The sequence below is a fragment of the Homo sapiens genome, chromosome 4 (assembly GCF_000001405.40).
Source record: "Homo sapiens chromosome 4, GRCh38.p14 Primary Assembly".
In the NCBI taxonomy this organism is placed as follows: Eukaryota; Metazoa; Chordata; class Mammalia; order Primates; family Hominidae; genus Homo; species Homo sapiens.
Window position 1 is genome coordinate 87,199,990 of NC_000004.12, and position 16,400 is coordinate 87,216,389.

Consider the following 16,400-nt stretch of genomic DNA (forward strand, 5'->3'; position numbering starts at 1 on the left):
AATTAGCTGGACGTGGTAGCATGTGCCTATAGTCCCAGCTACTCAGGAGGCTAAGGTGGGAGGATCACTTGAGCCCAAGAATTCAAGGCTGCAGTGAGCTGTAATCATGCCACTGAACTCCAGCCTGGGTGACCGAGTGAGACTGCCTCAAAAAAAAAAAAAAAAAAAAAAGAAAAAAAAAAAGGTAAAGGACTTGAATAGACATTTCTCCAAAGATGATATATAAATGGCCAAGAAGTATAGCCCTTCTTCAGTATCCTCAGAGGACTGGTTGCAGGATCCCTGCAGATACCAAAATCCTTGTATCCTTAAGTCCCTTATATAAACTGGTATGGTATTTGCATATAACCTATGTACATCCTCCTACATATTTTAAATTATCTTTTAAATTATCTCTAGATTACTTATGATACCTAAGACAATGTAAATGCTATGTAAATAGTTGTTATATTTTTTAAATTTGTATTATTTTTATTGGATTTAAAAAACATTTTCAATCCATGTTTGGTTGAATCTGGGGATGTCTAACCTGCAGATACTGACAGTCAACTGTATATAAAAAGATGTTCAATATCACTAATCATCAGGGAGATGTAGATCAAAATCATGAGATATCACCTTACACCTGTTGGGATGGGGAAAGAAAGAAGTGTTGGCAAGGACTTAGAGAAACTGGAAACCCTTTCCACTGCTGGTGGGAATGTAAACTGGCTTCCATAGCTGCTATGGAAACAGTATGGATAGTCCTCAAAAAGTTAGAAATAGAATTACCATAAAATCCAGCAATTCCACTTCTAGGTATATATCCAAAAGAAGTAAGAACAGGATAGTAAAGACATATTTGCACACCCATGTTCACTGCAGCATTATTTACAACAACCAAGAGGTAGAAGCAGCCTAAATGTACATCATCAGATAAATGGAAAAAGAAAATGTGATTTATACATACAATGGAATACCATTCAGATTCAAAAATGATGAAAATCCTGTCATATGCTACAACATGGATGAATCTTAAGGACATTATACAAAGTGAAATAAGCCAGAAACAAAAAGACAAGTTCCACTGATTCCACTTATATGAGATATCTGAAGCAGTCAAATTCATAGAAAGTAAAATGGTGGTTGCCAAGAGAGGTGGAAAGAAGATGTTCAATGGGTATCATTTCAGTTTTGCAAGATAAAGTTCTAGAGATCTGCTGGACAACAATGTACATATAGTTAACACTAGTGTACTGTACACTTGAAAATGGTTAAGATGGTAAATTTTATGTTGTGTTTTTCACCGCAATAAAAAAAGACACTACATAATGACAAAAGTGTCAATTCCCAAAGACATAGTATAGTCTAAATGTGCATACACCTAACTTCAAATCTTCAAATCTTCAAAATACACAAAGCAAAACCAAAAAGAACTAAAGGGAGAAACAGACAAATTCACAATTATAATTGAAGAGATTTAAACATTCCTCTTCAGTTATAGAACTAGTTAGCAGAGAATTAGCAATGACATAAAAGAACAGAACACATCATTAACCAACTGGATTTCATGGGTGCTTATAGAACACTCCTCCCAACAAAGGCAGAATATACATTCTTTTCAAGTGCACATGGACCTATATAAGCCATATCCTGAGTCAATAAACAACCCTAAACAAATTTAAAAGAAATTACATTGTATAAAATGTAGTCTCTGACCATAACGGAATTAAACTAGAAATAAGTAATAAAGACAACAGAAAACTCTCCAAATGCTTACAAATTAAATGCACACATCTAAATAATCCATGGAGCAAAGAGGAAGTCCTAAGAGAAATTAGAAATTTCTTCATTAAGTTAGTTCTTAACAAAAATGAAAATATAAAATACCAAAATATCAAAATTTGTAGGCTACAGGTAAAAAAGCAGCTTAGGTGAAAGTTCAGAAAATTATGTGCTTACATCAAAAAAAAGTACTAAATCAAAAAAATTAGCTGGGCGTAGTGGCAGGTGCCTGTAGTCCCAGCTACTCTGAGGCTGAGGCAGGAGAATGGTGGCATGAAATCGGGAGGCGGAGCTTGCAGTGAGCCGAGATCACACCGCTGCACTCCAGCCTGGGCGACTGAGACTCCCTCTCCAAAAAAAAAAAGAGAAAGTATTAAATCAATATTCTAAGCCTTTACTTTCAGAAACCAGAAACTAGAAAAAGAACAAAATAAACTCAAAGCAAGCATAAGGAAATAAACAGCACAAACAAAATTAAAATGAAAATAAAAAACAATAGATAAAAATCCAAACCAAAAGCTATTTTTAAAAGATCAACATATTTTTAGTAGAGACGGGGTTTCAGCATGTTGGCCAGGCTGGTCTCAAACTCCTGACCTCAGGTGATCCACCTGCCTCAGCCTCCCAAAGTGCTGGGATTACAGGTGTGAGCCACCACACCTGGCCTGTTGATCAACAGAATTGATAAACATCTGGCAAAAAAGGCGGGGAGGGAAGACACACATCACTAAAATCTGCAATATCAGAGACTATCATTGCAAACCCCACTGGCATTAAAAAGGTAAGTAAGGTGAATGCTATGAAAAATTCTACACACATAAATGTGACAACTTAGATGAAATGGACCAATTCCTCAAAACCCACAAACTACCAAAACTCACCCAAAAGACAACCTGAGCATTGCTATAACTATTAAATTAAATCACGGTTTGAAAAGCAATCTTCAAGCACAGATGGTTTCACTACATTCTACCAAACATTTAAAGAAGAAATAGCCTTGACTCTACAAAATCTCTTTCAGAAAACGGAAGAGGAGAAAACACTTTCCAACTTATTTCATGAGAAAACCTATGACTCTGATACCAAAACAAAGATAGTACAGAAAAGGAAACTACAAATCAATATCCCTCATGAATACAGACATAAAAATCCCCAACAAATATTAGCAAATATAATCCAGCAAAATATAGAGAATGATCACGACCAAGTAGAATTTATCCTAAGAGTTTATGCAAGGCTGCTTCAATATTCAAAAAAATATAGTCTACCATATTACCAGCATATTAAACCATACTAAACCACCACAACAACATACTAAAGAAGAAAAACCACATAGGAAGTAAAAGTTATCTCCAGTGCAATAAAGCAAGAAAAAGAAAAGGCAAAGACTGGAAAGAAACAAAACTGTCCCTATCAGCACACATAATTGTCTATGTAAACCATTCCCAAGGAACAGCTAGAACTAGTAAGTTTAGCAAGGTCACTAAAAACAAGGTGAACATGGCTGAGCACAGTGGCTCACACCTGTAATCCCAGCACTTTGGGAGGCCGAGATGGGCGGTTCACAAGGTCAGGAGATCAAGACCATCCTGGCTAACATGATGAAACCCCGTCTCTACTAAAAAAATACAAAAATTTAGCCAGGTGTGGTGGTGGGCGCCAGCTACTCAGGAGGCTGAGGCAGGAGAATGGCGTGAACCTGGGAGGCGGAGCTTGCAGTGAGCCAAAATGTGCCACTGCACCCCAGCCTGGGTGACAGAGCAAGACTCTGTCTCACAAAAGAAAAAAAAAAAAAAACAAGGTGAACACACAAAAAATTAATCATAACATAGCACACTGTAGTCTGGAACTTCAAGCCACTGCACCTGGCTATAGTTTTATATAGTTTCTGATCCATTTTATATAATATATAAAATATATTTTTATGTTATATATATAACTATACCTAAAACAATAAAACTTTTTGAAGAAAACACAGAAAAACTTCATGACTCGGGGTCAGGCTACTAGTTGTTAAATATGAAAGAAAAAAATTGCTAAAATGGACTCCATCAAAATTAAAACCTTTTGCTATGAGAAAGACACCATAAGAGAATAAAAAGACAAGCTTCAAATCAGGAGAAAAATGTTGGCAAACCACATATTTGACAAAAAATTTACATCCCAAATATATAAAACTTTCAAACTTAACGAAAAACAACTCAATTAAAATATGGACCAAAGACTTAAGACACTTCACCAGTGAAGACACATGGATGGAAAATAAGCACACAAAAAGATGTTCAACATCACTGCCATTACGTAAATGAAAATTAAAATAATGAACCAGGCACAGTGGTGTGCGCTTGTAGTCTCAGCTACATAGGATGACTGCTTAAGCCCAAGAGTTCGAAGCTGTAGTGCACTATCATCCGATCATGCCTGTGAATAGCCACTACACTCCAGCCTAAGCAACATAGCCCCTGCCACATCCCCATACACACACCCCACAACCATAATGAAATACCACTACACATCTATTAGAATGGCTAAAATAAACAATACTAACAATACCAAGTGCTGGTGAGGATGTGAAACACCTGGAATTTTCATATACTGCTGGTGGCAATGCAAAACAGCATCACTGTTCTAAAAAAAAAAAAAAGGTGGAAGTTTCTTACACAGTTAAACATATTCTTATACTATGACCCAGCAATCTGACTCCTGGCAGTTTAACCTAGAGAAATGAATGCTCGTGTTTACACAAAAACTTGCATATGAAAACATATAGCAGCTCTAGTTGCAATTGCTAAAAACTGAAAATAATCCAAATAACCTTCAACAAGTCAATGGATAAACAAACTGTGGGTACACCCATACAATAGAACACTACCTCACAATAAAAAGGAACAAACTTGGTACATGCAACAACCTGGATGAATCTCAATGGCTGCTGAGTGAAACAGGCCAGTCTCAGTAGGTTACTACATACTCTATGATTCCATTTATATGATATCCTCAAAAGGATAAAATCATAGTGATGAAAAACAGATCAGTGGCTGACAGGGATGAGGGGCAGGGAAAGAGTATGACTAAAAGGAGACGGCAAAAAGAGAGTTTTATGGGATGATGAAACTATTTTGCATCTTTTTTAAGTGTTAATTTAAAATTGATTTGGGTGATGATTAGATAAATCTACACATTTGTTAAAATTCATGGACTTGTACCCCAAAAATGTCAATTTTGCTATATGATAAAAAATAAAATGGAAAAAAAGATTGTTGCATTCCAACATACTCAGGATAAAACTCAAAAGACACAAGGCAATATAATCACAAGCCACTCTACTGCTTAAGGGATAAATCAGCCCATAAAAATAAAATATAAAGGCTGGCCAGACACAATGGCACATGCCTGTAATCTCAGCACTTTGAGAGGACAAGCTAGGAGGATCGCTTGGGCCCAGGAGTTCAAGACCAGCCTGGGCAACAGAGTAAGATCCAGTCTCTACAACAGATTTTAAAGTTAGCCACATGTGGTGGCACGCACCTGTAGTCCCAGCTACTTGGGAGGCTGAAGTGGGAGGATCGCTTGAGCCCAGGAGGTCGAGGCCACAGTGAGCTGTGATCATGCCTCTGCACTCCACCCGGGGTGACAGAGTAAGATTCTGACTCAAGAAAACACACACACACACACACACACACACAAAGGAAGACATCAGCATCACGATAGAAAACACTATCTGCCGTCATCGTTCTAATTGCATGTAAATTAAATCATTTAGTCCTCACTACAACTCTATGAAGTAGCTACTTTTATTTTGCCCTTTATCCTTCCGCCTCAGCACCCCCTGCCCAAGTAGCTGGAACTATAGGCGTGCACCACCATACAGGGCTAATTTTTGTATTTTTTGTAGAGATGGGGTTTTGCCATGTTGCCCAGGCTGGTCTTGAACTCCTGGACTCAAGCGATCTGCCCACTTAGGCCTCCCAAAATGCTGGGACTACAGGCCTGAGCCACTGCACCCAGGAGTCTTCTTTCACTTATTTTGCCATGCCATATTTTGTGCCCTAACTATCTGAAGAAACTGAGGCACAGCAAGATGGAGTGAAGCCCAAGTAAGTGGTGGAGCCAGGATGTGAACCTAGGCAGCAGGGCTCCCCAGCCTGTGCTATTAACTACCACACTACAGTTCAAAGCACTTTAGAAGTGAAATATAATTACAGAACAAAATATATGAAAAACCAAGGTCCTTATCTTCTCCCTCACTATACTTTTAGATTCCCCTACTTTTACAAGTAGCAACACCATTTTTTCAGTTACCCTACTTCAAAACATGAGCCATATTTGACTCCTCTCAACTTTCACAACCTATCCACTTCAATTCTCCTGGATTCTACTTGGAAAAATCTCTGTTCATCCATCCCTTTCTTCCTATTGTCATTGAACTCTATTCTCTCTCATTGTACTCCAGTTCAGATCCACATACTAACCTGGATTGTAGTGACTTCCCCTAACCAATCACCACATTCCTCCTTGCCATCAATAAACATCTCTCAAGGATTAGATGCTGCTGGATTTATCTAACTCAAACTGTCCTTTCCAAACTGCTTAATGTATGTAGCTCAGCTTATCCTGGCATTCAAGGTCCTCATTGCTCTGGCTCTAGTCTACCTTCCAGTCTTTTTCTCCATTCATTTTTTACATAAAGTAGGGAAAGGGGGAAAGAAGATGGAAAAACTACTTATTAAACCACTGTGCACCACCTATTTTGCCAGTAATCTTAAATATACTCTTGTTTAAGCATCACCTTATGGATGGTTCTAACATCCCTGACTTGCCCAAGGCCACACAGTTCTGTAGAAATGGTGGGAGATGGGGTTTCAATCCAGCTGTGATTAAGTCCATTCTTTTTCTACTATATCACAGATTTAATTATTCAGTTTTCCTCAAATGTATTTGCAAATGCTCAAGCTATTCCTTGTGAGGGAATGATGTCAAGGCCCAACTTAAATAATTCCTTTTTATGAATTATTTCCTAATTCTCCCAATGGGATGTGATCTTTCTTGTGAACCCCCATAGTACGCTGTATTTCTCCAACTCGTTCACTTTTTTTCTTTTGTATTTTAGACTTGCCTGCTTAACACAGTCTACTCTTTTTTGAAGACTGTGTCTTAACAATATCTATGTATTTGCCGACAATGAGCCGGAGTCATGAGTGACTGAATTAACACGATCTCTATGGGTTGGGTTTTTTCCCCCAATGAAAAAAACTGGGTCAACTTGGCTCTCTGCTCCTCCCATTTGACACACAGCTGCATCTTCTCATGCATTGCCAGCTGCATCGCTGAGGTAGTGAAGGTGATGGCCGGAGTCAACGGATTTGGTCGTATTGGATGCCTGGTCACCAGGGTTGCTTTTAACTCTGGAAAAGTGGATATTGTCGCCATCAATGACCGCTTCATTGACCTCAACTACATGGTCTACATGTTCCAGTAGGATTTTACCTATGGCAAATTCCATGCACCGTAAAGGCTGAGAATGGGAAGCTTGTCATCAGTGGAAATCCCATTACCATCTTCCAGGAGCGAGATCCCTCCAAAATCAAATGGGGCAATGCTGACGCTGAGTACGTTGTGGAGTCCACTGGTGTTTTCACCCCCATGGAGAAGGCTGGAGCTCACTTGCAGGAAGGAGCCAAAAGGGTCATCATCTCTCCCCACTTTGTTGACGCCCCCATGTTAGTGATGGGCATGAACCATGAGAAGTATGACAACAGCCTCAAGATCATCAGCAATGCCTTCTGCACCACCAACTGCTTAGCGCCCCTGGCCAATGTCATCCATGACAACTTTGGTATCGTGGAAGGACTCATGACTACAGTCCATGCCATCACTGCCACCCAGAAGACTGTGGATGGCCCCTCTGGGAAACTGTGGCGTGACAGCTGCAGGGCTCTCCAGAACATCATCCCTGCCTCTACTGGTGCTGCCAAGGCTGTGGGAAAGGCCCTCTCTGAGCTGAATGGGAAGCTCACTGGCATGGCCTTCTGTGTCACCACTGCCAAGGTGTCGGTCATTAACCTGACCTGCCATCTGGAAAAACCTGCCAAATATGATGACATCAAGAAGGTGGTGAAGCAGACATCGGAGGGCCCCCTCAAGGGCATCCTGGGCTACACTGAGCACCAGGCTGTCTCCTCCAACTTCAACAGCAACACGCACTCTTCCACCTTCAATGTTAGGGCTGGCATTGCCCTCAACAACCACTTTGTCAAGATCATTTCTTGGTATAGCGATGAATTTGGCTACAGCAACAAGGTCGTGGACCTCATGGCCCACATGGCCTCCAAAAGGAAGACCACCAGACCACCAGCCCCAGAGAGAGCATGAGAGGAAGAGAGAGGTCGTCACTGCTGGGGAGTCCCTGCCACACTCAGTCCCCCACTACACTGAGAATCTCCCCTCCTCACTTTCCATGTAGAACTCCTGAAGAGGGAGGGGCCCAGGAGCCCCACCTTGTCATGTACCATTAATAAAGTCCCCTATGCTTAGCCAAAAACAAACAAACAAACAAACAAACAAACCTTGGTCAACTCTTGTTAGTCTAGTGAGTTGTCTTCTTCTTCTTTTTTTCTTTTTTTTTTTTTTTGAGGCAGGGTCTCACTCTGCCACCCAGGCTACAGTGCAGTGGCACAATCTCGGCTTATCACAGCCTTGACCTCCCAGGCTCCAGCAATCCTACAGGCATGCAACCACCATGCTGGGCCAATTTTTGTATTTTTTGTAGAGATGGGGTTTTGCCATGTTGCCCAGGCTGGTCTTGAACTCCTGGACTCAGGCCATCTTCCCCCCTGGGCCTCCCAAAATGCGGGGACTACAGGCCTGAGCCACTGCGCCCAGGAGTCTTCTTTCACTTATTTTGTCATGCCATATTTTGTGTCCTATATGAGTATTATGACAGCAGGTATCACTAATATCTTATTTTTAAACTTTACTAAGTTAAAATGCATACAGTTCAAAATGACCATATACTTTTCCCCCTTACATCAAACTACTCTAGCTCTATCTAGTGAAAGTTTTATTATTGTTGTCACAAAATGTTTTCATTTGTCAGCGTACTATTTCTATGAAAAGGGCTTTAATAAATATTCACTTTTATAAAATTATTTTTACATTTGAATTCAGATTTGGATAGGACACAACAGCTCAAAAGCTGTCTATACCAAATTCTCTTAAAATGGTCTGTTTAAATAATGCAATGTCCTCAACTTTAAAAAATCTATTATATATAATAGAACAGGAAGACAGAAGCAGGAAAAGAGTACTTACTCAAAGACTATTCACTCTGCCTAAGAAACTCAGTAGACGTTAGGACTTATAAAGTCCGTATATTAGTATCAAGTAAATATGTAATTCAACCTACACTCCAGAATTTAAAACAATCAGAATTTTTTTAAAAATATGCCTAAGATTCTGATTTTTAGGGAGAAAAATAAATGATATTCCTCCTTCCTCAAATATATTAAAAGATTAAAAGCACAAAACAACAGAGAGGAAAAAAATGGACATCCGTGGCACATCATTGTCATAACATGCTACAGATGTCCATTTCTATCACATGTTGGCATATTATGACAATGAAGCAGACAGAAAGCTGATTCCTTTTTTTTTGCTCCTCTAAGTGCCAGTAAAGGCATATCGATCAACAAAATAGGAAGTTATGAAGAGAAAATACTTCAAACAGAAGCAGACAGGTTTATAGTTCAACGCAGAGCATATGTAACAAAACTAATATATTTTTATAAGTAAACATTATTTCCAATGAATTACAGAAAACAGGACTGATAGCAAAAGCTTAAAGATACTATTGTGCTAAGCCAGACCACCTTATTCTCGTTCTCTAGCTTCCTTTGTACTTATAATTTCTATCACATTTAGCATGTGATATTAATATGTAATACCATTACGCTGAATACTGTACTAACTCACTTTACACTGTATTATCCTCATAACTCTTTGCAGCACAGTGACTGTGTTTTCATACTACACATTAATCAAAAGACTACTAAACAGAAAGAGGAACTCCAAATGGCACTTGGTGTTCCGTTTTGGGTTTTTTTTTTTTTTTTTTTTTTGAGGCAAGGCCTGGCTCTATTGGCCCAAGCTGGAGTGCAGTGGCGCAATCTTGGCTTACTGCAATCTCTGACTTCCGGGCTCAAGCCATCCTCCCACCTCAGCCTTCTGAGTAGCTGGGACTACATACAGGCACACACCTCCACACCGGGCTAATTTTTGTATTTTTTGTAGAGATGGGGTTTTGCCATGTTTCCCAGGCTGGTGGTGAACTCGTGAGCTCCAGCAATCTGCCGGCTTCGGACTACCAAAGTGCTGGGATTACAGGCATGAGCCACTACGCCCAGCCCCAAATGGCACTTTGAAAGCACCTCTTAAAGAACTCAATGCCAGCTGGTTGCAGTGGCTCACGCCTGTAATCCCAGCACTTTGGGAGGCCGAGGCGGGCGGATCACGAGGTCAGGAGATCGAGACCATCGGCTAACACGGTGAAACCGTCTCTACTAAAAAAAACACAAAAAACTTAGCCAGGCATGGTGGCGGGCGCCTGTAGTCCCAGCTACTCGGGAGGCTGAGGCAGGAGAATGGTGTGAACCTGGCAGGCAGAGCTTGCAGTGAGCCAAGTTCACACCACTGCACTCCAGCCTGGGCGACAGAGCGAGACTCCATCTCAATAATAATAATAATAATAATTAAAGAAGTTATTTTACAATTCAGTTAGATGAAGATTTTGGATACAAAAGATTATATTTTATAGCAGTATGTGATTAATTTTAGAGCTACCCCTGAAAGTTGATGGAAGACGTGTGTGCATTTACCAAAATCAATTCTTGCATACTTGTGAAATAACAAAATGGCAAACCCCACCCCATGTTCCATAGAGCAAAACCTGAATGTGTTTAATTTTCCACATACTTTAGGCTATTTCACACCTCTCTGCCTCCTTTCAGGCTTTCTGCTCTTTCTGAAATGCCCTTTACCACCCCTCTCTCCTGCTAACTCTTGCTCATCTTCTAAGATCAGCCCAGGTTCATCTGCTCAGGAAGGCCATCCCAAAACATCTTCCTATTCCTAGTGTACTTCCTCTGTGCTCCCACAAAAGTCTGATATTTTTTTCATTATACTTATCACAAAGTATACCCTATTCAATTTTTGGTCAAATTCAAAATACTTAATACTTATAAGTGCCTATTCACTACTAGTCTTCCCTGTAACACTACATAAGCCCCTAAAGTATAGGCACCGTCTCTCTTCACTGCTATTACTCCCATGTTCAGTAAACACATATAACACAATAAACAAACAGAAGTACTTAAAATATTTTTATAATGGATGAACAGATTATGAACACTAGAGATTATTTTTCTACTATAATCCAAATTAATGTATGCTTAAATAATTTTAACTAAAGTAACACTGTGCATAAGACATTTACTTCAATTTTTGAATCACTTTATTTCAAAGGTAATACTCTTCTTAAAATTTCCATTTTTACTTTTAAGTCAGGAAAAAAGTAGGCTATACTCATTATTTCCTTTTTATTTACATTTAAAATTTTGAATCAAACAGTCCAAAATATACCAATCATTAAACGAGAATCTGCTGGTTTGAAAAACTGTATAATAGCTTCAATAGTTCCTACTCAAAGTATACATGACTTCCAACAAATTACTGCCGTGACTTTAAAAAAATGTTTTTCTTGGCCAGGCACAGTGGCTCAAGCCTGTAATCCCAGCACTTTGGGAGGCCAAGGCAGGCAGATCACTTGAGCCCAGGAGTTTGAGACCAGCCTGGACAACAAAGCAAAACCCCATCTCTACAAAAAATACAAAAATTAGCCAGGCATAGTGGCACATGCCTGTGGTCCCAGCTACTTGAGCCTGGGAGATGGAGGTTGCAATGAGCCGAGATCACTGAGTTGGAAAGAATAATTTCCTAACTGGAAGTCAGGGCGTGCTGAAATTCAACACTGATAGGAGACCCAATGGAGAGATCTAGTAGGTTACTGGAAAGACTGATTAGAGAGGTCACTGGTGCTGAAGTCAAAGTCATAGTTAAACTTAAGTGTGAATTAGATGCCTGCAACAGCTCGATGTCAGAGTCCTCTTTTAGACAGATGTGTTCTTGAACAATAACTGAGTAAAGACCAACAATAACATGGCCTTCAGTTAGTAGTACAGCAACACTGTCTGCTGAAAACTGTCCTTACGTATAGAAAAAAGGTAGATTTAATGAAAGGGAAAATGATCAATGAGAATATTTAAAAATCCTTATTAATCAATGAAATTAAATATTGCCAAAGACAAAAAATAAAATTGGTAGGGCTGTCAGGAAATAAACACTCTCACACTGCTGTTCATATAAGCCTTCCTAGGCTCCATTTAGCTAAGATATCCAAAATCTTTTTAATTTACGTGCCCTCTCATGTAACAGTTCCACCTTTTAAGAAATATCTTGATGACTTAGGCTGTGAGTTATACAACCTAGTAATTTTTTTTTGAAAACTGAAAAGCTAAAAACAACCAGTTACCAATGAGCTGGGAGGACTGCTTGAGCCTACCAGGAGTTCAAGACCAGCCTGAGCAACATAGTGAGAGCCAGTCTCGACAAAAGATCAAAAAATTAGCCAGGTGAGGTGGCTTGCACTTGTAGTCCCAGCTACTCAGGGGACTGAGGTAGGAGGATCATCTGAGCCCAGGGAGGTCAAGGCTGTAGTGAGCCATGATCTTGCCAGTGGACTCCAGCCTAAGCGACACAGTGAGACCTTATCTCAAAAAGAAAAAAAAAAATTTTCTTAACAATAGCATTTACAGTCTTTACAGTCATGTGCTGCATATCAGTGTTCTGGTCCACAATAGATGATGATGGTGACCAATGCATAGATGATAGTCTCATAAGATTATAACACTTTATTTTTGCTGTACCTTTTCTGTTTAGACACACGAATAGGTAACCACTGTGTTACAGTATTGACTATATTATTCAGCATGTTACTACATGCTGTATAGGTTTGTAACCCAGGAGCAACAGGCTACACCACAGAGCCTAGGTGTGTAGTAGGCTATACCACCTAGGTTTGTGTAAGTATACTCTATGACGTTTGCACAATGGCAAAATTGCCTATTAACATGTTTCTTAAGAGTGTATCCCCATCCTTAAATGACACACGCAATATTAGATACTACTATTATCAAAGCCTGCTTGTTAAATACTAATGTCATTTCTAGGGTCTATAAACAACATTTTCACTACACTGAATACTTTGTAAGATGTTTATTTTGGGATCTGTTTTATTAAAAAGGAATTCCTTTGACACCTTACAGTAATCATTTCCTTGTTTGAACTGGGCCACTTAGTTTATCACAATCATAGTGGTCTAAAAGTCTAGTATAAAGTATTAAAAGAAAGATCTTGAATTTTACCTAAATATGCGAACTACATGCATGAACCTTAACAGGGGCCTATATTACTCATTATTTTTATTTGAGAATGTCAGAGAAGTGACAGGGTTGTACTTAAGATAACAATGCCTACTAAAAAATTAATTTATCAATAATTTGTTGCCAAGTATCAAAGTATGGAATATTTCACACTGGATGTTTGAAACCAAACGAAAAGCACAAAGCTGAATTTACTACTTACTGAAGGGATAGCTATGCCATCCAGGCACGGTCCCTCTGAATAGAGCACATTGCTGAGCTTACATAGAGTTTAGGGGGTAGCATGGGATTCAGGGATTGGCAGACTTTCAGAGGCTTATTAACATAGTTACTGACATTAGATTACTACTAGCTACATTACTGGGAAGTTACCTAATCTCTCTGTGTCTCAATGTCTTTATTTTTAAAAGAACACAGCATGGCTGTGTTCCAATAAAACTTTGTTTACAAAAACAGGCAGCAAGCTTGGTTTAGCCTACAGGCAGTAGGTAATCAGTTTCCTTCTGGTTCAAAATTACAGTAGCACATTTTGCTATTTAAAATTATAGAAGCTGTTGCCTTGCTTTTGAGAGATATCTGTCAGCCATACGCGACACAAGGCACATAAACTGGCGGTTAGCAGCAGACACTTTAGAGCTAGACAGTTTTGGGATTCTGTGTTAATTGTGCAGCCTCGGGCAAGTTACTTAAAATTACTCTGAGCCTCAGCTCTAAGGTTGTTGTGATGGGTAAGTGAAGTAATTTATATAAAGTATTTAGCTCTGTATCTAGTACATAGTAAGATTCAATAAACAGATGTTATTACTTTTATAAATTATGTGATCCTGAGTCCTTGGTCAGGAACACAGTCCTGCAATCAACATTTTTTCCAGCAAAGAAATAAAATATGCTTTATAATGCTCTACATGAGATTGCAATTATTAGGAACCCACTATAGAAAAGATGGTAATACCCTAAGTCATCTTTTTTTTTTTAATGACAACAGCAAGCATTAATTGGGTGCTTCTATCTACTTATTAGTTGTATATTCATTGTATGATATTGGTTAAGTTACATAACGTTTCATTAGCTTTAGTTTCCTCATCTGTAAAAATGAGGAAAATAATAGTATCAACCTCATAGGATTGCTATAAAACTTAAATGAGTTAACAAACTGGCACATAACAGATATATATATATATATATATATATATATATATATATATATATATAATTGTCATCATGAGTTAAATACTTACATGTATTCATTTCAATCCTTGGGATAACTCAAAGAGGTAAAATTCCTATTTTTTTGCAGTTTTGGATAATGAGGCCCAGAGAAGTTAAGACACCTAACCAAGGTCTCATAGCTATGAAGTGCAATGTCGAGGATTCAATAGAGACTTGCCTGACTACAAAGCCCAAGCTCTTATCACTAGGCCAAAGACAGAATTAATGTTATCTCTGTATGGAGGTGCCTATGTGTAAATGACAATGAGAACCAAAATAGTGGTATTAATAATATTCTCCCTATACAGGAAATGTTTCAGGAATTTTTAAAGGTTTTTTTTTGGTTTTGTTTTTTCTTTGAGATGGAGTCTTGCTTTGTCACCCAGGCTGGAGTGCAGTGGCACAATCTCAGCTCACTGCAGCCTCCTCCTCCTGGGTTCACATGATCCTCCAGCCTCCGCCTCTCAAGTAGCTGGGATTACAACTGTGCACCACCATGCCCAGATAATTTTTGTATTTTTAGTAGAGAGAGGGTTTCATCATGTTGACCAGGCTGGTCTGGAACTCTTGGCCTCAAGTGATCCACCTGCCTCGGCCTCCCACGGTGCTGGAATTATAGGCGTGAGCCACCCCGCTCGGCCAGAATTTTTTAAGGTTTAAGTGTAGGAGAAGCCATACAAATCACTGATCTTAAAATGATTGGATTCCCATAGGTAAAATTTTTGCTGAAATTATTCCCTTTTGTTTTCCATATCTAATTAATTTAATTCAAACTTTCATTATTAAAGTTAAGCAATCCTCTGCATTAAAATAACTAAAGATCCAACGTAGTGACTTATCTTTTATATATAAAGTATGCTGCAATATTGGCATTCATCTCTACTACTAATCTTTGAGGTCTATTTCAGACTTCTCAGACTATTTTTACAAAGAACCACACTTCTGCTACTTTATTCTATAAATTCCCAAATATTGGTTTAGAACCTTGAACTTTGAAAAACATTTCAACTTTAAATGAAAATATTAATATCAAAGGAAAAAAAGATCTCAAGGAAAAAGACATTACTTGATGGACAGATTCATTCACAAGTTTGTTTAGCATCACTTGATCCACCTCATACTCTCCCAGCCTTGGGAATGCTACTAGTAACTGATCCAGAACAGAACTTGGTTTTACACTGTAAAGCCTTATAGCCCAGCAATCATTATACAAGGAAAACAGGGCAAAATTCCAAACGCTTATTCTTATAAGAATAAACTCAGATTTAAAAGTATGTCCGATTCAGAAATTCAAAAAAAGCAAATAAGTTTTAAATGTTATAAATGAAAATCACAAATTATAATATAATCTACAAAAGCAAACTGTAAATTTCTTGAAAACATACATATCCATCTTTTCAAACTAGCAGTACTAAAAGTCAAAGTGATCATCAATTAGGATTTAATAAAATTTTATACTCTATGATATACAAGAAATATCATACAACAGATTATGTATATATCATCATCTAGTTTGAAAGATTAAACACTTAATTTTCTTTAACATTGGGTGTTTTGTTGTGAAAACAAAGAACATCCAAATTTAGAATAAACAAGCCAAATTATCTTTTGGCATTTTAAATAATATTCTGACATGCTGGATTGTATTAAAGTCCCATTCTCTGCCTCCACTGTATTGCCCATCAAGGCTGGGGGTGGGGAAGAAGAGAGGAGTAGACAATACCTGCCTAATGATAATGAATCAATCAAAGGTACCACTTCCAGGTAGAAGTAGCAGCACTATTATTCATATGAAGGTAGTGTATCATAAATATCAACTTCTAGCTTTGGAAGAAAAACAGATACTCAGTGCTTCAAAAATAGCCTGTTCTCTTTCCTTTCCGCAATATAACCTGTTTCTCTTTCCTTTCCACAAAAAACTAATTTTAAAAA

The 16,400-nt window shown here is 38.5% G+C and overlaps 1 protein-coding gene and 1 pseudogene across 9 annotated transcripts in view; one reads left to right on the forward strand and one right to left on the reverse strand.

Moving 5' to 3' along the window:
• The window catches only part of KLHL8 (kelch like family member 8), an 80,429-nt gene that overhangs the window by 39,887 nt on the left and 24,142 nt on the right, over positions 1-16,400 (reverse strand). The gene's annotated exons all lie outside the window — the stretch shown is intronic.
• Positions 7,031-8,301, forward strand: GAPDHP60 (glyceraldehyde-3-phosphate dehydrogenase pseudogene 60; annotated as a pseudogene).